The sequence below is a fragment of the Homo sapiens genome, chromosome 5 (genome assembly GCF_000001405.40).
Source record: "Homo sapiens chromosome 5, GRCh38.p14 Primary Assembly".
Classification (NCBI taxonomy): Eukaryota; Metazoa; Chordata; class Mammalia; order Primates; family Hominidae; genus Homo; species Homo sapiens.
Genome location: NC_000005.10, coordinates 3,250,719 through 3,275,434, shown reverse-complemented (window position 1 = coordinate 3,275,434; position 24,716 = coordinate 3,250,719). Strand labels below are relative to the sequence as shown.

Sequence of the window (24,716 nt, the reverse complement as noted above, 5' to 3'; positions counted from 1 at the left end):
CAGGGGGTTGGCACGGCCGGGCACATCATGCACAGGTGTCAGTGTCTTCATTTTCCAGACTGACCATGCCAGAGAATTGGGTGAGAGCTAATGCCAAGCAAAAGAAATGACCACGAGCTCCCCAAGCAGCCTGGCGAGAATCCGGTGAAGAGACCCAGAAAGGTGTGGGGCTGGACAGTGAGGGACGAGGGCAGGGCTCACCTGCACAAGGTCGGGAGGGAGGGGATGGAGACAGGCACCCACCCACTCCAGAAATAACTGTCTGGGCTGCTCATCAGGGAGTTTCCAGAGACACATAAAGGCAGAGGAAGCTGTGGAGTGGGCAGCCCAGGGCAGGACAGGCCCAGCCTTGATAAAGAGGAGGGGGAGGCAGAGGACCCTGGACCACACCCTGTAGCTCACGTAGGGGCCGAGCAACAAGGACGGACTTCCAAATCCAGCTCACGGCAGGAGCCAATGGCCCAGTCTGGACAGCTGCTCCCCCTGTGTGGCAGAATAAAGGGCCAGCATAGGCCCGGCAGGGTCCAGGCTCCACAGAGCCAGCTGCCACCCTTCATCTTTTTGGGAGGAGTCAGTGTACAGCAAGGGAAGGCTTATCTCTGCACAAAAGAAGGTTGAGAGGTTTGAAAAATAACTTGAGAACATGGAAAGAGATCTAGGGAGGTGGGTAAAGGGGCACTGATGTCAAATGATAGGTGTGAAAGAATGTGGCCTGTAAAGGTAGAGGTGACAGTGGGACCATGCTATTAGGTGATAAAAAAGGGAAGAGATTCTTCTCATATTGGTGGGCATGATTTTTTTTAAAGCACATATGGCATGGAGCATTAGAAACAACCCAGGGAAGGACCTCATTTCTGCACACTGTGGAGCTGCAGATTCGGGCTTTGCTAACTAACTCGTGAATTCTGCCAGTGTTTCTCAGGTGCTGCTACCTCCCAGTAGGCCAGGGAAGGAGAGCTGGGGGGACACAGTCTTCACTCTCAACAGGGGCACTGTCTGGTGGGGAGACCGCTGCATGGTAGCCACATAGGGTGAGGCAGGGCAGGGATGGACATTTGGAGAGATGCACTCAGCACCATGGACTCCTTGAGGGCGGGTCCGCAACCCCTCATGGCTTCCCGTGACCTCTGGAGTTAAATGGGGAGATAGGGGTGTGGGTGAAGCTGTATTAGACCTGGCTGGAAATTTGTCATCTGCTTTTCTTGGGAAGTTGTGTTGAAAATAATAGCTCCTGTATGAAGACCCATGGATTCCACCCAACGATGGTCCCCTGCTGTGCCTGGGAATAAGTGCCATTAGGGGAAGAGATTTGCAGGAATGAATGAACAGAAACAGAAGAAGGATGTATATAAAAGCCATATTTGGCTTCCACATTGCACGTTTCTGAGCGAGAGTGATACTTTTGAGCACAAAGCCAGCAGCGCAGAATTCAAACATAAAATGATTTGCAGTGTATTATGCTACCGGCAGAGCAGTAAAGGGGGTTTCAATTGTTATTTTTGGAAAGAGAAGCTTTTAAGAACTATGACAGATGGTGTTGGATACTTGGTGGGCTAAAAATGGGGGAGGGAGTGTCCTGGAATAGTGATTCTGCAGGCCCAGGCTTCTGTCGAAGATGTGGATGCCACAGAGAGCTGGGGCCATGTGCAGGACCTGGTGGGTGAGGAGATGTGTTTATACAAATGCATCTGCCTCAGAAGGGAAGGATGCAGGCTAGACCTTGGGAGGTACACATGTCCACCTTGACGGCAGTTTCAAGCATTTGTCAGGAACGCTGTTGGATGAGCATGTTGAATGACAACTAAGATTCCTCCTCAGTTTCGAGCTTCTACATTCTGTTTGCAACACTTTCACTCCAGGAAGGCCATGCATCCTGCCTCCTTACTCATGCATGCTCTTCCAAGAGAATGCATCTTGCAAATTTGAGCTAGAACATGGGAGACTAACTTTCCTTCTTCACGATGTGAGTATGCATGACCTTAGCTGTAGACATGTGCATTATTTGGAAGACAGATACTACCATCTGCAGAAATATTCCACATTCATCCTTTTACTAAAGGAACTTTAAAAAAATTCTGATGAAAGTGTTGACTAGATAATTCTGGGAGTGTATGTTGGACTTGAGAAAACAATGCATGCCACAGTACGCCCTGCCTCATGATGTGAACCCAAATGGGATAAACTGTGGCCATGCCTGGTGCAGACAGAGCCTCAGCACGCAGCCTACCCCAGCTCTGCACAGCAAACCTGAGTGCGCTCCTACCCTCTGAGGTTCAGGAGCCATTTATATCCATGCTTAGTGTAGTTTTATTACTGTGTTTTTGGAGGGACTGGTTTATCGGTTTTTTTGGTTTTTGTTTTTCGTTTTCAGAAATTGAACCAAAAAAAGTATTCTGTGAGGTCTTGCCACATGGGCGCCACACAACTCAGCATGGTCCAGTGCTCTCCCGCCAAGGCCCTTGGCCTCCGTTGGATTCAGGGTCTGTGTGAGAAGGTCTGGTTATAGCTCCTAAAGGAGAGATGACCATGAAAATTCGCCCCAAAAGGTCATAAATCTGACCCTGTGTTGCAGCCTCAGCAGAAAATCTAAGCGCGGAGTGGGCTGGAGAAGTGATTTATCCTCCCCGCAAGAGGGGCAGCTCTGCCTGCGGGTGGCTGTTTTCTGGGCATGCAGCTCCGACTGTGTCAACAGCGGACACTGAGGCAACCCCACGGGGCACTGGGGCTGAACAAGCTGCTGAATCTCAGTCAAACAGTGTGGGAGTCAGGCGGAAGCCCACGGAGCTCCCCTAGCAGAGAAGGCTGGAGATGCCGTCACGCTCTTAAAAACTGTCAGAGTACTGTGAGCTTCGTGTCTCCGCTTTAAATAAGTCATGGCAGGGGACCCCACGAAGGGGGACTTAGATGAAACACGGGACACCCAGTCACCTGTGAATTCCAGAGAAACAGGAGCGATTGCTTAGTGTCAGCATCTCCAAATACTGCCTGGGACACACTTGTTCTAAAAGTTACTCATTGATGGCCGGGCGCGGTGGCTCACGCCTGTAATCCCAGCACTTTGGGAGGCGGAGGCGGGCGGATCACCTAAGGTCAGGAGTTCAAGACCAGACTGACCAACATGGAGAAACCCCATCTCTATTAAAAATACAGAATTAGCTGGGCGTGGCGGTGCATGCCTGTAATCTCAGCTACTTGAGAGGCTGAGGCATGAGAATCGCTTGAACCCGAGAGGCGGAAGTTGCGGTGAGCAGAGATCGTGCCATTGCATTCCAGCCTGGGCAACAAGAGTGAAACGCTGTCTCAAAAAAAAAAAAAAAGTTACTCATTGTTTGTCTGAATTTCAAATGCAGCCAGGGTCTTCCCCGTGTACTTGCTGAATCTGGCAATCCTACTCTGGACGGGCATCTCACGCCTGTGCTACCTCTCCCTCTACTTAAGGTATAGACTGGGGCTTTGTGCACAGATGGACCCCAGGTAGAATGTTTGCATTTTATGACATTTGAAAGTGCCAGGTTCACCAAAGGAAAAGGCGTTTACATTTTTCTCTAGGTGGGTATGTTTGTTTGCTAGGGCTGCCTTCATGAAGTCCTGCAGAATGGGTGCCTTAAACACAGACTCTTGTTTCCTCACAGTCCTGGGGGCTGGAAGCTTGAGATCATGGTGTGGGCGGGGCTGGTTCCTCCCAAGGCTGTGGGAGGACCTGCTGCAGCCTCGGCGGTGGCTCCTCACGGCCTGCTGGCAGTCTTTGGTGTTCGTGCCTTCTGGAAGCATCACCCCGTCTCTGCCTTCATCTTCACACAGCCTTCCCCTCTGCGTGAGTGGGTGTCTAATTTCTCCTTTTTGTAAGGAGACCAGTCATCTTGGATTGAGACCTTCCTCATGGCCTCACTTCTCTGAGTAACCTCTATAAAGACTCTATCTCCAAATACAGTCACATTCTCTATTAGGGGAACAAGGGATTAGAACTCAAGCATATAAATGTGGTCACAGCTCAATCCACAGTGATGGGTTCTACCTGTCCCAGGGTGGGGGGCACAGATGTCGTTATGAGATGTCCTCACAGGTAGAACTGGGACAGGTAGAACAGGAAATTTCTGAGCGTCTTCCCCTCTGACTCAGGAGCATGGATGGATCTTTTGCTTTAGCTGAACCATTGTTAAACAGTCTTTAAAAATGGAAGTGCTCTGGATGAACGAAGTGTGTGGGTCCCCTGTGTTGGCAGAGATTTCCATTTTGCCTGGTGCTAAGCAGCGTCCAGTCCTCTTGTTTGTTCTTGAAAGTCATCTGAGTCTCCAGAAGTGCTTGAAGGGAGGGAAGGGGGCTGCTGGGCAAGCACAGGGGCCCTTCCCTGGCCGTGCTGGGTGGCCACTGTGCTGGGTCCCATGTCAGCAGCCTGCACGGTGAACGGTGTGCAGCCCGCAGCCCAGTCGCTGTCTCTGACCCCCTTTCCCACACTAGTTGCCTGAATCAAGCAAGTCCAGAAGGAAGTGAGAAACACTGTGGCCACAAGCCTGTTATCCGTCATGGGCAGCTCAACCCAGCGTGCGCAAGATGACACACTTAAAAATCATGTGTCTTGAAGATGACAACTCATTGCCAAGAAAATGATAATAGAGAAGGGAGGAAACTCCATCTTACTCTGCAAAAAGGACAGAAATCCAGCTAAGCGGGCAGAGGACAGGTCAGTCCTTACTTGGGCAGCTTTACGATTGATATGACCACCCAGCCCAGCAGAGCAGAAGTGGGGCCGGGTGCTGAAGACTGGAGCTTCCATGTAAAAGAAGACTGGTAACTGGCCAGGCGCGGTGGCTCACGCCGGTAATCCCAGCACTTTGGGAGGCCAAGGCATGTGGAGCACGAGGTCAGGAGATCGAGACCATCCTGGCTAACACGGTGAAACCCCATCTCTACTAAAAATCCAAAAAATTAGCTGGGCGAGGTGGCGGGCGCCTGTAGTCCCAGCTACTCGGGAGGCTGAGGCAGGAGAATGGCGTGAACCCCCAGGGGGCAAAGCCTGCAGTGAGCTGAGATCACGCCACTGTACTCCAGCCTGGGCGACAGTGAGAGTCCGTCTCAAAAAAAAAAAAAAAAAAAAAGACTGGTAATTATGCTTCCAGCACAGAATTATCAAGTAGACTAAATAAGATAGCCCATGTGAGTGTGAATGTGTGCACAGTAGCACACCTCGAATGTCAATTTTTGTTGAATTTGGTTAAGTATTATTTTACAATAGTTTCCCTTTTTCATTATGATATTGAATTTAAATGAATGTTGTGGCAAGCACACACCTGCGGGAAGCGGATGGCCCGGCTGATGGGTGCGAAGCTGCCTTCCCCACACAGTGCCCTCCCTGAAGGTCTCACTAAGTACTGCAGAGGGAAAGAAAGGCCTAGCACCAGCTCTGAAGGTCAATGACGTCTGAGTCCTGCCACCAACTCCAGATAATCCCGAGTCTTCACTGGCCTTCTGCAGAAGTTTCAGGTCCTAGAGAACAACAAAGCTCAGGCAGGCTCAGCTGGGCAGTGACTGCATCTTCATGGGGAGGAGGTGGCCGGCTCAGTGCGTCCTGAAACAGCAACGCCAGGGCCTCCTCCTCCAGAATAAAACGCCGCGAACCAGCTGCTAGCTGCAGAAATTAAATGGAGACAAAATCCTGGAAAGAACAGAAAAGAAGCAGAGGCACCCTATGAAAGGGATTTCCCTTCTACAAAATGGAGCGATCCACACAGAAGCTCTCCTGCGACGCCCTTCTGACGTCTCACAGCCACATTGCCAAAGGCGGTGACATTTGAGCAGCCCGTCCTCCGTGGGCCCAGCCAGCCTGGTAGTGCACACCGCGAGGGCTTATCCGTGTTAACATAAACCCTCATTAGAGGGGATTAGGAGAGAAGCAGTGAGAAACAGGATGGACACTCACCCTCCGAGGACCCTAGGAAGATGCCGCGTACTAATTACCCTTTTAAATGACTAGGAGATACTGCGGACACGTATCAGCGTCTGTGCACAGGATGCATGGGGAATTGTGCTTTGCAGATGACAACCTGTTTGTATTTTGCAACAGTTCTATGTTCTGCACCCCCCCCCCCACACACACACACGCACGATCCCACCCTGGACACAGAAGTCAACAGAGACGCTGAGGGGGCGTAAGGGGACGTGACTCCCCTCTTGCCTCTCTTCACTAACCTTGAGCATGAGGGCCTCCTGTGGGTTTCTTCCCTCGAGTCCCCTGCAGTCCCCTGCAGTCCACTGCACAGCCTTGGAAAGCTCAAGCTGCTGGGGACATTCTCAGGACCCTGTGGGTCTGGGGCTGCCCCTGGTTGGGACTCTGCATCTGTTCCACCTGTAGGGAAATGGGTTTCTTAAAGCACAGAGGGTGTCTCCAGCTGCCTTCATACCACATGTACAGATGCAGACGGGCAGCATTGTGTGAACTCAAGTGTGAGCTAAGTGGGCTGTGTTGGCCTCACGTGTGTCTCCTGGGGAGAGTGCCCAGGCCAGATGTTGTCAGAGCGTGGTGGATGCGCCCCTGAAAGGGTGCCTTCCTGTCTTCACCTTCCATGACCCAGCTTCTCCCTGGAAACCACCCCTCCTTACTAACTTCTGAAATGCATGGGTGCTGGGGTCCACTTCTGGAGCCCTCTCTGGCAGGTCTGGGGTACGGAGCTGGAATGTGGGTCTTTCCACACCCCTCAAGGAGCTCCTCTAAGGGGGAAGGTGGGGATGTGGCCTTGCACACTCAGCTGTTGGTGTTTGCTGCTGAGACAGCAGAAGACAGAGCCTCCTCCGCACCCTAGATGGTTTGAGAGCAAAAGCAGACGGCAGGCTCCACACTGGATCCCACGACAGGCAGGGTGGCCACCAGAGGTGAAAAGGGCTTCTAAGATTCATGGCCTGGAGCCCTAAAGTCACCTGGAGGTGGCCAATGTGGCCCAAGTACCCTGTGTGTGTGGCCATGTGTGTGCATGTGTGTGCATATGTGTGTGTGCACGTGTTATGAATTCTCACATGAAATGGTCAGTCAGGTGCAGCCACACAGTAGACACAGAAAAGGCTCAGGAAAACACAGTTTGCCATGCTCACAGGTCCTAGAGGCCGGAGGCCGAGTGCTCCACACGGGCCCTATGGGAGAGAACCAAGGGGTCAGGAGGCAGGGCTGGAGAGAGGGGAAGGCTTCAGACATCGGCGCTGTTGGGGCTCCTGGGGGAAAGGCAGGCAGAGCAAGGCAGCTCTAAGCCACTAGGCTGTCCCCAGTTGCCTGGCACCTGCCCCCCAGATCATGAAGGCAGAGGAAGGTGGTCTCCTGGGAGTCCTGCCACATCCAGAGGCGGCTCTGGATGGGTGAGCTTGAACATCAAGAAAGCTGTCTTCTCATTTTCCCACCATCTTAGAGTCCACGGGAAAGAACTCAGCCTTATTTGGCACTGAGCGGCAGACACAGAGGCATCAGATGGCTGAGGCCAGGGCTGTGGGGTGCGGTGTGGGAGGAGGCTCTGGAGGGCAGTGGGGCCGTTGCATTGCTTCTGTTAGAGGCGCACAGATGGCTTGAGTGCAGAAGTTTGAGAGCAGCCTGAGAAAAATGGTGAAACCCCTTCTCTACAAATATATATATATATATGTGTGTATGTATATATACACACACACATTATATACCATATTTTTATATTACATATATATATTATATATAGATTAGCAGGGTGTGGTGGCACACACCTGCAGTCCCAGCTACTTAGGAGGCCGAGGCAGGATGATCACCTGAGGCCTGGAGCTTGAGGCTGCGGGGAGTTGAGATCGTGCCACTGCACTCCAGCCAGGGCAACAGAGTGAGTCCTCATCTCTTTAAATAAATAAATAAATGCCGTGTACTATAGGAGAGTCAGAGGCAAACCATTTTGACTGGAGGAGCCCCGGGGTGAGAGCCTGGGTGATAAGAATGAAATAGCGCCTTTCCCAGAGGCCCCGCCCAGGTGCTGTGGGACCCCTCCTTGAACAGAGAGCCCCTGGATGAGATGGGCTTCCCACGGGCCCAGCGAGGCAGCAGAGCAGGGCAGGACGAGAACCTCAAGCCGAGCAACCCAGTTGAACTTCCCTTACCTCGGTCATCAGGGTCAAGTCCCCATGGCCACCAGGGTGTGGAAGCTCTGCTTCCTGGGAGCACAGCGGAGGTCCATGTGTCCTTTGGGGATTGTTGCTGCACTGGGGGATGGACCAGCCCCTCCCTTTCCTCCACTCACAGCCATCTACACAGGTGTGGGCCTCCCAGGAAGGACCAGGGAGACCCAGGAGAATCCCCCGGCAGCCCACCCTCCCTTTCAGGGAGACTGCGTCTGATGGCACTCAGATGAGTGGACATGCACTTCACTGCTTGTTCTTGGGCTCAGCTCAGGGTGGCATTATGGTTGTCATTCCCTTTGGGGTCCTCTCGCCTGCAGACACCAGGGACAGGTGGGGGGTTGGCTTTATTATTTGTACTGAGCATTTTGAGGCAAACAATCCCAGCTGTTGACACAGCCACACCGGAAGGCGTGACACACAGAGCTCTGCTCTTGTCCACTGGCTCCTGCACCTTCTGCTGTGTGTGCCCAGAGCGTGTGTCTCCAGCACTGCTGTTGGCTGGACAGCCACGGGGCATTTTCTTTAAGCTGATGGTGCATTTGATCTTAAGAACTAGAGCACTGAAGTTTCAAGAGATGGGGGTTAACAGGCCACGCAGGAGGCAGGGACGTTTGCAGAGTTAGCCATGAGGCAGGGACAGGGCAACATAGTCCATGCTATTAAGAGAGTCTTTTCAGCCCTCCAAAATCAGCACTGTCGATATCTTCATTTTATCAATGAGAAACTGAGGCCCAGATTTGCTATGTAGCAGGCCAAAGATCATCCAACCAACACGCAGAAGAGTGGGAACCTTAATCCTGGGGTCTGGTCCCAGCCCAGGTACACTTTGTCCCTGAATGGGGCTCCTTCCTCCCTACTGGAGAAGGCACTGAGCATGCTCATGGATTTGCTACCAGCAATGCCATCCCCATCTCCATCACCTGTAATACCTTGATGCAATAGAGACTGACAATTAGTCAAGACACAAATCTATCAAGAAACCTATTCAAATTTGAAAAGAAAAGCCAACCAAGCACTCAGAAGGGCTGTCTTCCATAAGTCCAGTGGTCATCTCTGGCTGTACATTAGGCTAGCCTAAGTGTTCAAAAACATTTCCAATCCCCGGGTGGTACATCAGGCAAATTATGTCAGTGCCACTGAGGCTGAGTCCTGGGCCTTGGCGTGTTTCAAATCTCCCTTAGGATTCCGCTACCTTGCCAGGGTGGAAGACGGCTGAGCCAGCTCTGTCAGAGGCACCGAAGCCTAATGTCTTACTGTAGGACAGTAGGTTTCCTCACTCCTTCACCCTTGCAAGATGCCTATAGGAAGGGATGGAGCCCCACCTCTGCCCCAGTTTTACCAATGTAGAGACACACGTGGTTAAAACTGGTCCAGTAATGTTCTGCTGTGATGTACTTTGCAGGGGAGAACTTATGCTAATTAGTTGGTATATACCTTTGGTATTCTGTTGCTTCCTTGATGGTCTTAACATGTCATTTGCATTTTTCAACTATACTTAACTGCCTCTTACGAAGGGAATTATATTACATACTGATATTTGCGAATCTGGGAATTCACAAAGGTTTTAGAATCTATCTGTTGCAAATACAAAGAGTGTGCTATGTCTGAAAAGCTATTGTCTGAGGACAGAACCAAAAGAAACAGAGCACAGCAGAGCTCGGATTGAAAACAAAGAGGAAGTGTTACTACAAATCAGAGAGAGAGCTTCTGGAGGGTACTAATTGCCAGGCATAGCTACAAAGAAGATGCATATTTTATTTCACTGGAAGGCTTAAAAGTGAGAGGAATCTGACTTGATTTGTCTTAGGAGACCTGTAAGCAGGACCTGAGTGGTAGACTTCACATGGATCTTGGCAAGGTCATTGCTTCTGAGGCTGGAAAACAGAGGTGGGCTGGGGCTGTAAAGGGAAGGGCCATTTGTTTCACCCATTCCTAGAGTTACCATGATACATTTTTCAAGGTTATGAATATTGCATAACATCAAAGAAGAATTGAGTAATGCCAATGTGGACAAGATGAACAAACATGACCCGAAATGTGACCAGAATGAGCAATAAACATCACAAAATTACAGAAGTGATGGGGCAATTTTGGTTAAGAAAACAAGATTTCAAATCACTCAACTCTCTGGGATGCCACAGGCAAATTAAGTTTGTAAATAATCAGGTGGACTCGTGGACTTTCAGCTTCTCCGTGCCTGCTTCTGCTCTAGGGCCAGCCCTTCCAGAGCCTGTCTGCAAACCCCGCTTGCACCAACTTACACAGCAAATGCATTGACACACTTCCCACAGAGGCCAAACATACTCCACATCTTGAAACTGTCAATTGCAAATATAGGTGGCTTTTTAGCATTGTCATATTGGATATAATTTTTGCCCTAGGAACTGGAAAACATTCCTTCACAGGATCAAAGGATAGTTATGTCATTTTGCAAGCTCTCCATTAGCTTTCCCATTAAAAATGAATGCTGCTAATAATTTCATTTATATGCATTAGTATTTTGGAAAAAAAAAAACCTTCACTGAATTTGCCTTGAAATTCAAAATGCTATCAGAAAGCACCATGACAAGTCATCATATCATGGTATTTTCCTGATTTATCTCTATTTCTTGATTGTAATATGTTGTTATTATGTGTCAAAGAATTGCCCTAGGAAAAGTATCATTTTTTTAAGTTGAGCTCATCTGTTTCTTTTAGTTTTAAGCTTAAACCCATGGGCATTTTTATGTCTACCTTACAATGCCCGCCATACTTTCATGCTTCTTTCCTTGGGTGAGATATTTATTTAATGCCAAGGTAACAAAATTTAGAATTAGATGAATAAGCAATACTGGTTGTGATGTGCTGGTTTTCTTCCTGTTATCAGCCCAGCAATGTATGTAAACAATGCGTAGGCTCTGAATGCATATGGCAATCCCACCTGCTACCCTTTGCCCATCATATCATGCCCCTAAAGGCATTGTGGGCCAACAGCAATTCAATCCCCCCATGCATGCATAATCTGACAAGCTTTGCATAAATAATAATAAATAATTGGTATGTATAAATAATTTATCATTTATTTTTGCAGGAGAAGAAGAATTCGTAGACATATTTTAAACAAAGGGAACAGCAAACATGATCTCAATCAGAAAAGGGGTTAAGTCTCTTTAAAACACAACTTTCAAAGCTCATATGCATTCAGTGTATATTTGTGATTTCTACTGAGAGGGTGTGTGATATCACCAAAATCTGTGAAGCACGGCAGGATACCTATGTCAGTGTCAGGAAATGATTCAAAATAAATTCTAACTTGGAGAATTATTTTCAAAACAAGCCAAATAATATTTCTTATTAAGAAAATGATTTCTTTTTTCCTGAGAGTGAATCAAGTCTAAACCTTTCCAGTTAAATATATTATTATATGTGAAGATTTTATATTTAGTTTGGTAAATATCTCAGATTAAATGTAGGTTTCTAAATCCAAGTATATGCAAAAAATATTAAGAAAAAATAGTAATAAAATAAAAACTAATCCCTAGTCAAATTGGAGAGATAAATGAAGTGGATAGAAGATTGAATTATTGCACAAATAAGAAAGAAAGAGTGGGCTTCTCCCTCCCCTGCTTCTATGGACACAGAAGTGTCCCTGTGGACGGCAGAGCCTGATTCATGCCACAGGCGGGTGTGGTGGCACCACCAGGGAGATCCCAGGAAGGTGGAGGGATTTCTGCCCATTGACTCTGGGTTTCCTGGATCTCAGTTTTTTCTTAATTTTCCTTCTCCAATTATATGTTGGAAATTTGTTTTGTTTTTTTGAGACAAGGTCTCACTCTGCAGCTCAGGCTGAAGTGCGGCGGTGTGATCACTGCTCACTGAAGCCTCGACCTCCCTAGACCCAGGTGATCCTCCCACCTCAGCCCCAAATAACTGGGACTGCAGGCATGTGCCACCACACCCAGTTAATTTTTTTTTTTTCAGACACGGGGTCTCACTGTGTTGCCCAGGCTGGTCTCAAACCCCTGGGCTCAAGTGATCCTCCCACCTAGGCCTCCCAAAGTGTTGAGATTACAAGCGTGAGCCATTGCGCCTGGCCTATATGTACTTTTTAATCCTCGTAAAATTCAATCCAGCAGGAACAATTGGTTTCAGCGAAAAACGGGTTTCTAATAAAAGACTGGGAGTCGTGCACATGTCCCAGGGAGGCGGGTCAGGTCTGCAGAGGTTCGGGTCCTGGCCCCTTCCTGGCCTCTCCCAACCCCAGACAATCCCAAGGTCCCTCACAGGCACCCACCCTCCTCCCAAGTCCACACAGAAGGCTTTTAGTTACATTGCATCTAATCTTTGAACAAAGCACAACATATTTTCTCATTGGGTCTTACAATCTCTGTAACTTATAGCTCAAAACAGTTGTTTCTGCATTTAATTAGTAAACATGGGTTTGGCCCCGGGTTGACTTGGCCAATCCTGGTGCTACCGTCAATCCATGAAGAGATTTGGGGTGAGGAATTTTACCTCTGTGTCACATTCTTTCCATCAGTGAAAGGGTGGTACTGCTTGTCTGGTAGATATGTCACGACAGTTGATGACTATTGTATGTCACATGCTTCAGTCCTGCTCAAGGTCTCCGGCCCACAGCTCCTCTGACTGTCCCTGAATCTTGTCTTTGGTGGCCCTCCTTTGTCCCTGGCCTCCGGGCTCCAGACCATCCCAGCCCGGTTTCCTCCCACTGCCCACTTGCTCCCCTCCTGTGCTTCTCCTCCATAGCCCCCCTCCCCTCTCAGAAGCTTGGGGCCTCACTGGCCAGCATGGCCCTTTCCTGACCACTTTTCTTCATGCACTTACACAACTGCATATTTAAAACAGTTTTAGCATGTGGCTCATAAACAAAAAATAAATTTGTTTTTGCATATTAAAAAACAGTAACAGGAACAAAAATATAAAAGTGCAAGTACCAATAGCTTCATCCTCTCCCGCTTTATTAGTCTGTTCTCACACTGCTATAAAGAATACTATCTGAGACTAGGTAATTTATAAAGAAAAGAGGTTTAATTGGCTCACAGTTCCGCATGCTGTACAAGAAGCATGGCCAGGAGGCCTCAGGAAGCTTCCAATCATGGCAGAAGGTGAAGGGGAAGTAAGCACATCTTCACAGGGCAACAGGAGGGAGAAGGGTGGAGTGAAGGAGAAAGAGCCCCTTATAAAACTATCAGATCTTGGGAGAACTCACTCACTGCCATGAGAACAGCATGGGAGAAACCGCCCCCATGGTCAAACCACCTCCCTCCCTTGACACATGGGGATTTCAATTTGAGATGAGATTGATTTGGGTGGGGACACAGAGCCAAGCCATATCACCTGCCCTTCAGTGAGCTTCTCAGTGGTCCCATGGTTGACTGTGGCATGCAAAGAGATGATGGTGAGCATAGACAAGTAGAGACCCAGTGGGGGCAACCAGAGGAAGGAGACCCTCTGGGAAGTGGATGAGGGGGCAAAGGACATGTGGTTGGAGGTTGGGGTGTTTGCATGAGAGGTGTGGTGAGTACAGCCAGGTGGCAGAAGTCTCACCTAGTATTGTGCAATTTAGCACTGTCTTCTCACCATACCTCCTCCCTGCTCTCAATATTACCTCCTGAGAAAACACTCATGCTTTGCAGTGTTGTAAGAAAGGATTAGAATCGTGGGCTTTGGAAGACCTCCAAACACAAGACTGGTGCTGAGACTCAGGTTGCAAGCTCTGCACGCCCATGAGAACCTGTAATCAGACATCCTTGCAGGAAGAGTCAACCTGCCAGGCTGGAGCTCTTCCAGATCCTGGACGCCAACTGAGGGCACAGGGAGCCCCAGGGTGATAACTGGGAGATCAGAAGCACAGAATAGGAGGGGAGAGAAGCTGATGATGGAAACGCCAAAGCCCCTTCACACAGATGACCAGAGTGGGCTTGGGGAGATTACCTGTGAGATAAATGCGCAACTTTCCTTCACAGTGTGCGTGGTGGGTGGAACTGTGTCCCCCAGAAAGATATGTTGGAGGCCCAGCCCTTGCACCTGCCAATGTGCCATTATCTGGAAATAGGGCCTTTGTGTCTATAATCAAGGCAAGGTGGCATCACACGGGGTTAGGGTGGACCTTAATCCAGTGACTGGTGTCCCTATAAAATGATGAAATGTGGACACAAAGACACACAAAGGAGAACACACAGAAGAGACACACAAAGAAGAGACACACAGAGGGAGTGTGGCCAGGTGAAGAAAAGACAGGATTGGAGAGATGCAGACACAAGCCGAGGAGCACCCACAGTCCTAGAAGTGAGGAGAAACACAAGAAGCAGACTCTTCCCTGGAGCCTTCAGAGCAAGCACCACACTCCAGCACCTTGATTCCAGACTTCTGGCCTCCAGCACTGTGAGATAATAAAGTTCTGTAATTTTAAGCCACCAACTGTGTGGCAATTTGTCATGGCAGCCCTAAGAAATGGATGCCATGTGCATTTCTCAGAATGGGAAAGGGACGCTGTTGTACTAATGCTTTGGCATTAACCAGACTGCCCCGACCTCACTTTGAGCTGGGATTTCAGTTTACAACACCACAGGCTTCTGCCTCTGGATTTGTTCATGCGTATAATCTCTCATCATTTTGTTAAGACACCTTGATTTTTTCTTTTAATGGAAGATGTTGTTCATTGATCAAATGTTGGCCAGTGTGTGTTTTAGCTTCCTGGAATGAGATGCTCCCTGCAACCAACACCATCCATTTCCTTTATGAGACTTCGTTGCCCTGAGGAGGGAAGTACATTGGATAAAACTTCAGGAAAGCATGTTCCGTGGGAAGAATGAAACAACCAGATTAAACTTCTCATCAAAGTTGAATTTTCCTGTAATGGCTCTCAAAGAAAGGGTGGCGTGAGTGCTTTGCAGGAAGACAGGACTGTGCCACGGTAATGTCTTTTCAACAAGGTCAAGAACCCAAGCATCCAATGACGAGTGTGTCTATTGGTCCCTCTCTTAGAGCAGCTCCCTTGTGCAGACTCTTAAGGAACCCAATCCAATCACTGGTGCCATTCCTGACCCCACTAGAGGAATTAGAGCCCCTCAGAGAAAGCATTTTTGACCCACCAGGACTGCTCCTTCAACTTTGGTGCGACATGATATTTCTTTTGGCAGGGTCACTGGTGCTCAACACCCGTCATCACTAACTTATTAGATCTTGAGGCAATTAGCTGAAAACAAACAGAAGAGACAAGCCTGGTATTGAAACATAGAAACCAGAAGAAAATAGCCCATGGCAGTCCATTATTTCAAAGCTGCTTCAAAGGCAGGGGAGGGGCTTCCTCGTGAAGAAAGGAGCGTATTGTTTTCATGTAATGTCTATACAGTAGAAGGGCTTACTGCATTATTTTTCTACTGATTCGGGTTACATTCAAGCCTGCCTTGCAATAATAGGTTGGTGGAAAGCACCTTTCAGTTTCCACCTAAACCCAGCATGCCATGTGTAGCATGATTAGCCAAGGATTAAAAATCCAATTAGACTCTCCCTTGACATGAGAAATCAGAAGAGGAATTTTGAGAAATGCATTGAAAACCACTTCTTAATATGATTGAGGGTGATAACACGCACTAAATGGAGGACTGATATCCAAGGGACCCCTTGAATTTCCACAACAAATTGACTTTCGCCATCTTCAATATAAATATGCGCTCCTTGCTATTAATTATATTGATTGAGAACAGTAGATGTGTTTAAAGGAAAGTCCATGGGAACCCAGTGATTTGTTATTTATAACTGAGAACTCATGGCAGTGGGGCACTGCGCTCGGAGCAAGCACCTGTTATGGTTAGATTCTTAGGCTTTTGAGAATATCATGTATAACAACATATGTAAAAATCTTACATGGAAACAGAATAACGTGCTGTCTGCTTCCACATACCTTGCCGGTGTAAGTGCTATGAACACGGCAAATATTATCTTACCAAATGCAATTTTTATTTAGTCATGTGTAGTAAACATTACCAGTTTTATGATGTGAGAGAGTCTTTGATTTTTATCACTCAAAAACCTAAATGGAAAAATTTAAAATAACTATTTAATCAGTCTGCTTAGATTTAGTTAATCAGTCTGCTTAGATTTACCTATTCCTTTTTATTCCTCTGTGATTTAATGCACAATTTGATTTACACAGATATGCATTTCGCAATTGTTTCTCTACCATGCTCATCTTTGTCAGTCAGAATAAAATGCTTAATTATTTGATCTGCATAGAGTAGTGCACAAATCAAACATTTTAAGACCATTCATGGATCTCATTGTGGTTCATAGAAACCCTCTTATTTTTATTATGGAATCTGTAGCATTTACTTGGCAAATAATATACAGATAAACATTTTAATGTAAAAAAATGAAAAATTTTATTTTCACGAAAACATACTGCTGAAGTTGCATCAGAACCTCACTTTTTTCCTGCTTTGTGACATGTTTATTAGCCTGTTGTCTATGGCTAGTTGTTTTTTGAACCTTCCTGAAAACATATCAGTGATACACTTGCTTGCTTGTATTTCTTTTTTCTTTTTAATTTTTAGGAGTGCAGGGTAGGTGTATAGTAGTATGGGGTCAGTGAACTATTTTGATCTAGGTATACAATGCGTAACAATCACATAAAGGCAAACAGGCTGTCCATCACCTCAAGCGTTTGTCATTTCTTTGTGCTACAAACATTCCACTTAAATACTCTTTTAGTTATTTTTAACATCTGCAGTAAATTATTGTTGACCGTCACCATCCTGATGAGCTATCATAGACTAGATTTGTCTTCTCCTCTTTTAATTAGACTTCCAGTTTCCTTTTTACAGTCTTTCTATTCTAATAAATGTCTTCATGAGCATTACCGAGCTGGGTTAGAACAGCATTACCAGTCACGTGGGCTGCTGCGTGAAATGCTAAGATTTGGTCAAACTCTTTCCCACACAGAGGTTCCCATGTGTTTGGTGGCCCTCTTGGGATCTGATTTCAAGACACGATGTGCTGAATCACCTCCAATGCAAGTTCAGCAGTCACAATGCCTCCACTCAGCAGATGAGACACAATTCTTCCAGATCAGATGTGCGGCTGTTGGTGGCTCTGTCAGGGTGTCAGATGACCGGAGAGCAGCTACTGGGAAAGGCCGCCATGGCTTCAGAGGACAGCTCTCCCTTCGTCTGCCTGGACAGAAGGGCAGCAGGGGCACCGGGCGCTGCTACCACAGAGACAAACCCACCTTGTTTTCTCACTGCTATTTTGACAAACAATTTTGAACACAAAAATAAACAGGAATGCTCGAAGACTGGACCTATGCAAGTTAGATGAGCCCAAGCCATCTCATTCTGCTTTATTCTCAAAAGATTGCAATTCGTCCTAGTACAGAAGGCTCTCTTTTTCAGCAGTGGGTGCCTTGTTTTAATGACCAGTATAGGTAACCTATTTACCAAGCAAAACATGGTTTTGTTTTTTCATATATGAGTACCTCAAGATGCATTAGGAATGCATACACCACCAACGCATAGAGCTATGTTTGTTTGTTTAACTCCGGCCAGTGAAATGGTGATGATGAATTTGTCCACCTGGCTCCATTTTAGGGACAAACAAACTAAAGCCCGGGAAGGTGAGAGGAATTTTCCGGGTCGCAGAGCAAGCTGGGAGCAGAGCCAGAGGAAGACCTGGGCTTCCTGGTTTGTCTTCCAAGGTTGTTTTTGGGGCACCTGTTAGCAGCAAAACTTGGATTTCTCTTTAGTCAATTTTATAGATAGCAAGGAAATAAAATGTGAGTGCTTAGAGTGTTCTTTTTACTTTATTTTATTTTATTTTATTATTATTATACTTTAAGTTTTAGGGTACATGTGCACAATGTGCAGGTTAGTTACATATGTATACATTTGCCATACTGGTGTGCTGCACCCATTAACTCGTCATTTAGCGTTAGATATATCTCCTAATGCTATCCCTCCCCCATCTCCCCACCCCACAACAGTCCCCAGAGTGTTATGTTCCCCTTCCTGTGTCCACGTGTTCTCATTGTTCTCACCCACCTGTGAGTGAGAACATGCGGTGTTTGGTTTTTTGTCCTTGCGATAGTTTACTGAGAATGATGATTTCCAATTTCATCCATGTCCCTACAAAGGACATGAACTCATCATTTTTTATGGCTGCATAGTATTGCATGGTGTATATGTGCCACATTTTCTTAATCCAGTCTATCATTGTTGGACATTTGGGTTGGTTCCAAGTCTTTGCTATTGTGAATAGTGCCGCAATAAACATACGTGTGCATGTGTCTTTATAGCAGCATGATTTATAGTCCTTTGGGTATATACCCAGTAATGGGATGGCTGGGTCAAATGGTATTTCTAGTTCTAGATCCCTGAGGAATCGCCACACTGACTTCCACAGTGGTTGAACTAGTTTACAGTCCCACCAACAGTGTAAAAGTGTTCCTGTTTCTCCACATCCTCTCCAGCACCTGTTGTTTCCTGACTTTTTACTGATCGCCATTCTAACTGGTGTGAGATGGTATCTCATTGTGGTTTTGATTTGCATTTGTCTGATGGCCAGTGATGATGAGCATTTTTTCATGTGTTTTTTGGCTGCATAGATGTCTTCTTTTGAGAAGTGTCTGTTCATGTCCTTCACCCACTTTTGGATGGGGTTGTTTGTTTTTTCTTGTAAATTTGTTTGAGTTCATTGTAGATTCTGGATATTAGCCCTTTGTCAGATGAGTAGGTTGCGAAAATTTTCTCCCATTTTGTAGGTTGCCTGTTCACTCTGATGGTAGTTTCTTTTGCTGTGCAGAAGCTCTTTAGTTTAATGAGATCCGATTTGTCGATTTTGGCTTTTGTTGCCATTGCTTTTGGTATTTTAGACATGAAGTCCTTGCCCATGCCTATGTCCTGAATGGTAATGCCTAGGTTTTCTTCTAGGGTTTTTATGGTTTTAGGTATAGCTTTTAAGTCTTTAATCCACCTTGAATTAATTTTTGTATAAGGTGTAAGGAAGGGATCCAGTTTCAGCTTTCTACGTATGGCTAGCCAGTTTTCCCAGCACCATTTATTAAATAGGGAATCTTTTCCCCATTGCTTGTTTTTCTCAGGTTTGTCAAAGATCAGATAGTTGTAGATATGTGGCATTGTTTCTGAGGGCTCTGTTCTGTTCCATTGATCTATATCTCTGTTTTGGTACCAGTACCATGCTGTTGTGGTTACTGTAGCCTTTTAGTATAGTTTGAAGTCAGGTAGCGTGATGCCTCCAGCTTTGTTCTTTTGGCTTAGGATTGACTTGGTGATGCGGGCTCTTTTTTGGTTCCATATGAACTTTAAAGTAGTTTTTTCCAATTCTGTGAAGAATGTCATTGGTAGCTTGATGGGGATGGCATTGAATCTATAAATTACCTTGGGCAGTATGGCCATTTTCACGATATTGATTCTTCCTACCCATGAGCATGGAATGTTCTTCCATTTCTTTGTATCCTCTTTTATTTCATTGAGCAGTGGTTTGTAGTTCTCCTTGAAGAGGTCCTTCATGTCCCTTGTAAGTTGGATTCCTAGGTATTTTATTCTCTTTGAAGCAATTGTGAATGGGGGTTCACTCATGATTTGGCTCTCTGTTTGTCTGTTATTGGTGTATAAGAATGCTTGTGATTTTTGTACATTGATTTTGTATCCTGAGACTTTGCTTAAGTTGCTTATCAGCTTAAGGAGATTTTGGGCTGAGACAATGGGGTTTTCTAGATATACAATCATGTCATCTGCAAACAGGGACACTAAATCAAACGCTTTACAGAGCCCCTGGATGACAGGAGGATTCTGCAGGTTCCTGCATCATAACTGTTTCCAGTCCTGAGCTGAACTAACTCGTGCAGCTGAAGAAGCACGCGATTCTCACCATTCTGTGCTTATAACATCAGTACCAACCCCCGGACACACTGGAGTTTCTCCTTATTTCCTCAAAGTTGTTCTTTCATCACACCCCCGAGAAAAGGTTGCTATGAGGATAGAAGAGGGTTGCTGCAGCCATAAAAATCAATTGTGCCACCCTCCAATCTTAAATGGTGGTGAAATGTGCAGGAAAATCTTCCATCCTGCCAACCTCTGTTACGTTTACTTCCCTCCAAACTCATATCATGATTAACCTTGAAGGGGCCTTTGAGTTAGTCTGGCCCAATCCCCATATTTTGCAGGTGAGATGCAGAGACTTCAGTGAATTCTCCAGTGCCCTGAGTCTCCCCTGGCTTTTGGAATCCGGGCTAATGGTGCTTCCACCGTGCCACAGTGCTATGATTTCCTCCTGTTGCTTCCACCTGCTGGAAATATGTCCAGATGCACTCTTTAAGGGCAACAACAAGCAAGCAAAAACTAAAAATAAAATGCCTTTCATCCTCTACCAGGCACACAGCTGCTTCTTGGAATATTTCAAGTGTAAACCCAATATTCACACTGCATCATCCCCCAGAATGGGCTTCTGAGGTGAGCAGACAGGTGTGAGCACCTCACTCTTATAGTATTTTTGTCTCCAGAGCCAGATTAATGAGGCTAAAGGAATATTTTATTTTAATGCATGTGTCCATGGAAAACTTTGCAGAGCATGCATGGATCTGGGGTGAAGAAGATCATAGTTTCTGCTCAAACCACTTCCTGCCTTATTCTTAACTTTTAATTCAACCATTCAACCACGGGTATTTGTCAGATGTTTTAGGTCCTGCTATCCATGGCAGGTGAATCAGGAAGGAAGGGCAGAAGCATTCATCAGCCCTGAGCACTGACCCATCTGATTGTAAAGCCAGCACCCCCAATGGGAGAGAGAGCCCCAAGCCGCCACCTCAACGCATGTACCCAGTTAGTTACTGGGAGGCCTCTGCAGGCTGAAGCAGCAAGTGGCCATGCATAGGCAATGCAAGCCCGGCTGCGTTGTAACCAGTCTTTTTGCCTTTTATTAAAAATCCTGCAGTTAATTGCACATATAGTGTATCTTGTACACTGACATTTCCTTTGAATCAACAGTCAAGGAGTTGAAGGCCTGGTGAAGCATTAGTCTTCTTGCAAGCTTTGCTCCTTCTTGTGAATCTGGAGAAAAATTAGCCACTATCCTCTCTCTCTCCAGCCAGACACTCTCTTCTTCCAAATTAAGTGGAATATTTGTGTTCTTCAAGAATCATACACTTGTTTAGCAAAGCAACTAACTGACATTGAACATTGAATATGGTTTCAAAAGTAAAAGCTGAAAACTGGAGACTTTCACATCTGAGTGGGTATTGCTGTTCATTTAATTTTGACATTGGCTAGAAATAAATCATATATTTTTAATCACCCATTAAGGTTTATAATCTTGGGAGTTTAAAACGTCCTTACTGATACCTACAAGCTCATTGGGTTTTGTGGATTCCAGAGTGTTTTATTCCTGCGTAGCTTTCCTAGCCTGGGGTTCCAAGTGTTTTATTGCTTTGTAGTTTTCCTAGCTTGCCTCTTTTATCATCTTCATTGGCTTCTGTGCATGATCCCACAGAGAGATCCTCTCTGCTGGGCTCTGTGCGATGCACAGAGGATAAACTGCTAGAGAGTCAGATGGGCTTTCTGTGGTTTTCCTCAGTTTCCTGAACTTGAAGAACATCCTTCTAAAACCATATCGTGTTTGACCTTGAAAGGGAATATGAGTCCATTGGTTGAATCTCCACCAATGCAGGTGACACACAGACTTCAATAAATTTTCTAGTGACCCACAGCTGTTCAAACTCCCTAATCCATGCTAGTGGTTCTCCCACTGTGCCACCATGGAATGGAAGGAATAAACCACCCATCATTTCCAACTTAGGTGGCCTCTCCCAAGTCAACCAATTTCTCTATTTAACAGGATTTGGGAAATGGTCAAGGTGAGTAAAACAGAAATTTCCCAGCCCCTTCCAATCACATCCATGAACAGTACTGACAAACACACGTGTTTTTCCTAGATGGAAACCTATCTGTGGACTCCAAGCCAAGTTGCCTGTAAGAAGTTGTCAAGTCCCAAAACTCTATTGTTGCTAATGCCCTAATAGAAAGGATACTAGCAGTGTGTCTTCTGAGCAGAGAAGTGGAGGAGGAACAGAGGACTTAGCCTCTGTGGGGATTGTGACAAAACAGAGGGTGGGGAGATGGTGATATGGAAGCCTTTGAATCTTTACCAAATAATTGTTTGAGGGTAGAAACCATTTTTTAGGTTGCCTGCTATGGCCTCTTGTCCCTCCTGTCTCAGTTTAGGAAACCCTATCAAGCCCCATCATTAGACCCCAGGTATTCTATAGTGCCTCATGTCCCCAGATTACTTCTCTCATCTGACCTCAGTTTGTACCAACAGGCCCCTCTCTTCCGTGTCCTGACCTAGCACACTAAGAATCAATGTTCTGCTTATAAAAGTTCTAATCTTTCTCTCCTCTTTTCTTTCCAGTATGTAAGATTTCACCTCTGTTCTTAACAGTGGCGTCTTCTGATCATAGAATATCATGTAGAATTTGCCTGTGTTCTTCACGATGGTGGCTTCTGATGGGGTGGCGCTCCATTATTTAGTTCTTTTTAAATTCCTCACTACAGCATTCTGCAGTTTTCAGTGTACAGATATTACATATATTGTGTTATATTTATCTCTAAATATTGCATTTTTGGTGCCACTGTAACGAGTATCTTGTCATTTCCATTTTGAAATTTTTATTGCCCATTTTTTTAAGTTCTCATCCTCCTCCCCACTGGCTTCTCTCTGGATTCTGATGTCTGGGCTGAACTTCAGATTCTGTTGAAGTTGCCTTTCACTGCCCAAGAGAGGGTCGTCCCTGGATCAGGCAGCACATCAGCCCAGAGTCTCACTGCCATCAGGAGAAGAACTCACAGTTCTCCAGAAAGGGCAGTGATGGGGGCTGAGGACCTCTCCTCCCAGAGAAAGGTGAGGCCTCCTGCTCTGATAACAGTGGGAAAGTTGCTTCTCCTTCCTTGGTAAGTCCCAAGCATGTTCTGTCTGTGTTAAAAGGATATCAGTTGAGGCTGCTGCTCATGCCCAGTGATTTACCTCACATGTGACTCAAGGTAGACAATTACTTTAATAATTGCTCTGAGTTAAAGTAGTTAACACTCTTCACACCTCCAGGCTCTCTAAGTCTTCACAGTAGGGGATTTATGCCATTGTATCCAGGAGTAATTCTCCAAACCGAATACCTGAGGGGCCACAGTTCTGGACTTCCTCGCTTGTGTCTGAAGTCCAGCCCACATGGGACAACTGTGTAAACAGCCACAGGACAGTGCTCTGGGGGTACCTCAGGGAGGAGAGCCCCGGGCCAAAGCAGGCAGCACATCAAGGAAGGCAACAGCCCAAACTTACCTCCTGCAGGAAGGTGTGCGGTCCTTCCCAGAGGGGACACAGGGAATGGAGGGAGGGGCCGTGTCATCTGGTGCTGGCATCTGGGTCTGCTCATACATAACAAAGGGGAAAGCCCTAACACCAAAGAAAGGCAGATAAAAAGAGATACTTAGCATAAGAACAAAAATCAACAAAATAGAAAACAGGAAATTGATATAGAAAATCAAATAAACCGAAGGCTGTTTCCTTGAGAAGATCAATAAAACTGATAAATCTCTAGCCAGGCTGATTAGGAAAAACAGAGCAAAGGTACAAATTACTACTATCATAAATGACAGCAGGTACATTTCTACTCATGCAGCAAACAGTTAAAAGATGTAATGGCATATTATAAAAGATTGCATAAAAATGAATTTCATGACTTAGTGAAATGGACATATTCACTGAAAAATACAATATAAGTAAGCTCACCTGAAACAAAATTGATAATATCAAAAGCCCTGTATCTTTTAAAGAAATTGAACCTGTATTTAAAGATTTTCTCACAAAGACACCTCCAGATCCAAATGGCTTTACTAGTGAATTTTAGAAAATATTAAAAGAAGAATTAATACCTATTCTACATAAACTAATTCGGCATGAAGGCAACATTATCTTGATAAAAATATTAGGAAGAAAAAAATCAACTATGGGTCAATGCCTTTCAAGAAAACAGGGGCAACGATTTTTAACACAACTGTATAATATAAAGTCTAAAAATATATAAAAATGTTGATGCATCTTAACTAAATAGGCTTCATCTCATGAATGCAATGTTGCTTTTTATTTTAAAAATTAATCATTGTATGAAAGGAAAATAAAATATTGGGACCCCACATTCACTATCCCAGAGGGAAAGTTTAACTTGGGAACTGAGTCATGCCAAAATAGTAAGAATAATAATAATAAAACTGCTTTCTTGTTTGTTCCCAGATAGCTGTGACATAGAAGGCCACGTCTCTCTCCAGGTGGTCCTCACAAATTGCTCACAAGGAAATTTCTTGTGGGCCCCCAAATCTTTCAGAATATATATCCCCCTCATAAACTAACCCTAAAACAAAGGTCTATTGAATCTCACTCAGACAGCGTAAATTAAGAGTTTGTCTTCACAGATATGGGACAAAGACAAGACTAGAAATCATCCACCTGACCACCCTGAGACTACTGCGTATTCGAGTTCTTCCTCTACACTATACTGACCTTATCTTATGTAAAATGTAGAGCTACTGCACACAGGATGA

The 24,716-nt window shown here is 45.8% G+C and overlaps 2 annotated features.

Moving 5' to 3' along the window:
- Nucleotides 7,609-8,607: an enhancer, noted in NCBI's record as "H3K4me1 hESC enhancer chr5:3266942-3267940 (GRCh37/hg19 assembly coordinates)". NCBI's record gives its function as "activates a minimal SCP1, AML or CMV promoter by ChIP-STARR-seq in naive H9 embryonic stem cells {active_cell/tissue: H9 hESC(naive)}" and the evidence as "EXISTENCE:reporter gene assay evidence [ECO:0000049][PMID:30033119]".
- Nucleotides 22,890-23,710: an enhancer, noted in NCBI's record as "NANOG hESC enhancer chr5:3251839-3252659 (GRCh37/hg19 assembly coordinates)". NCBI's record gives its function as "activates a minimal SCP1, AML or CMV promoter by ChIP-STARR-seq in naive H9 embryonic stem cells {active_cell/tissue: H9 hESC(naive)}" and the evidence as "EXISTENCE:reporter gene assay evidence [ECO:0000049][PMID:30033119]".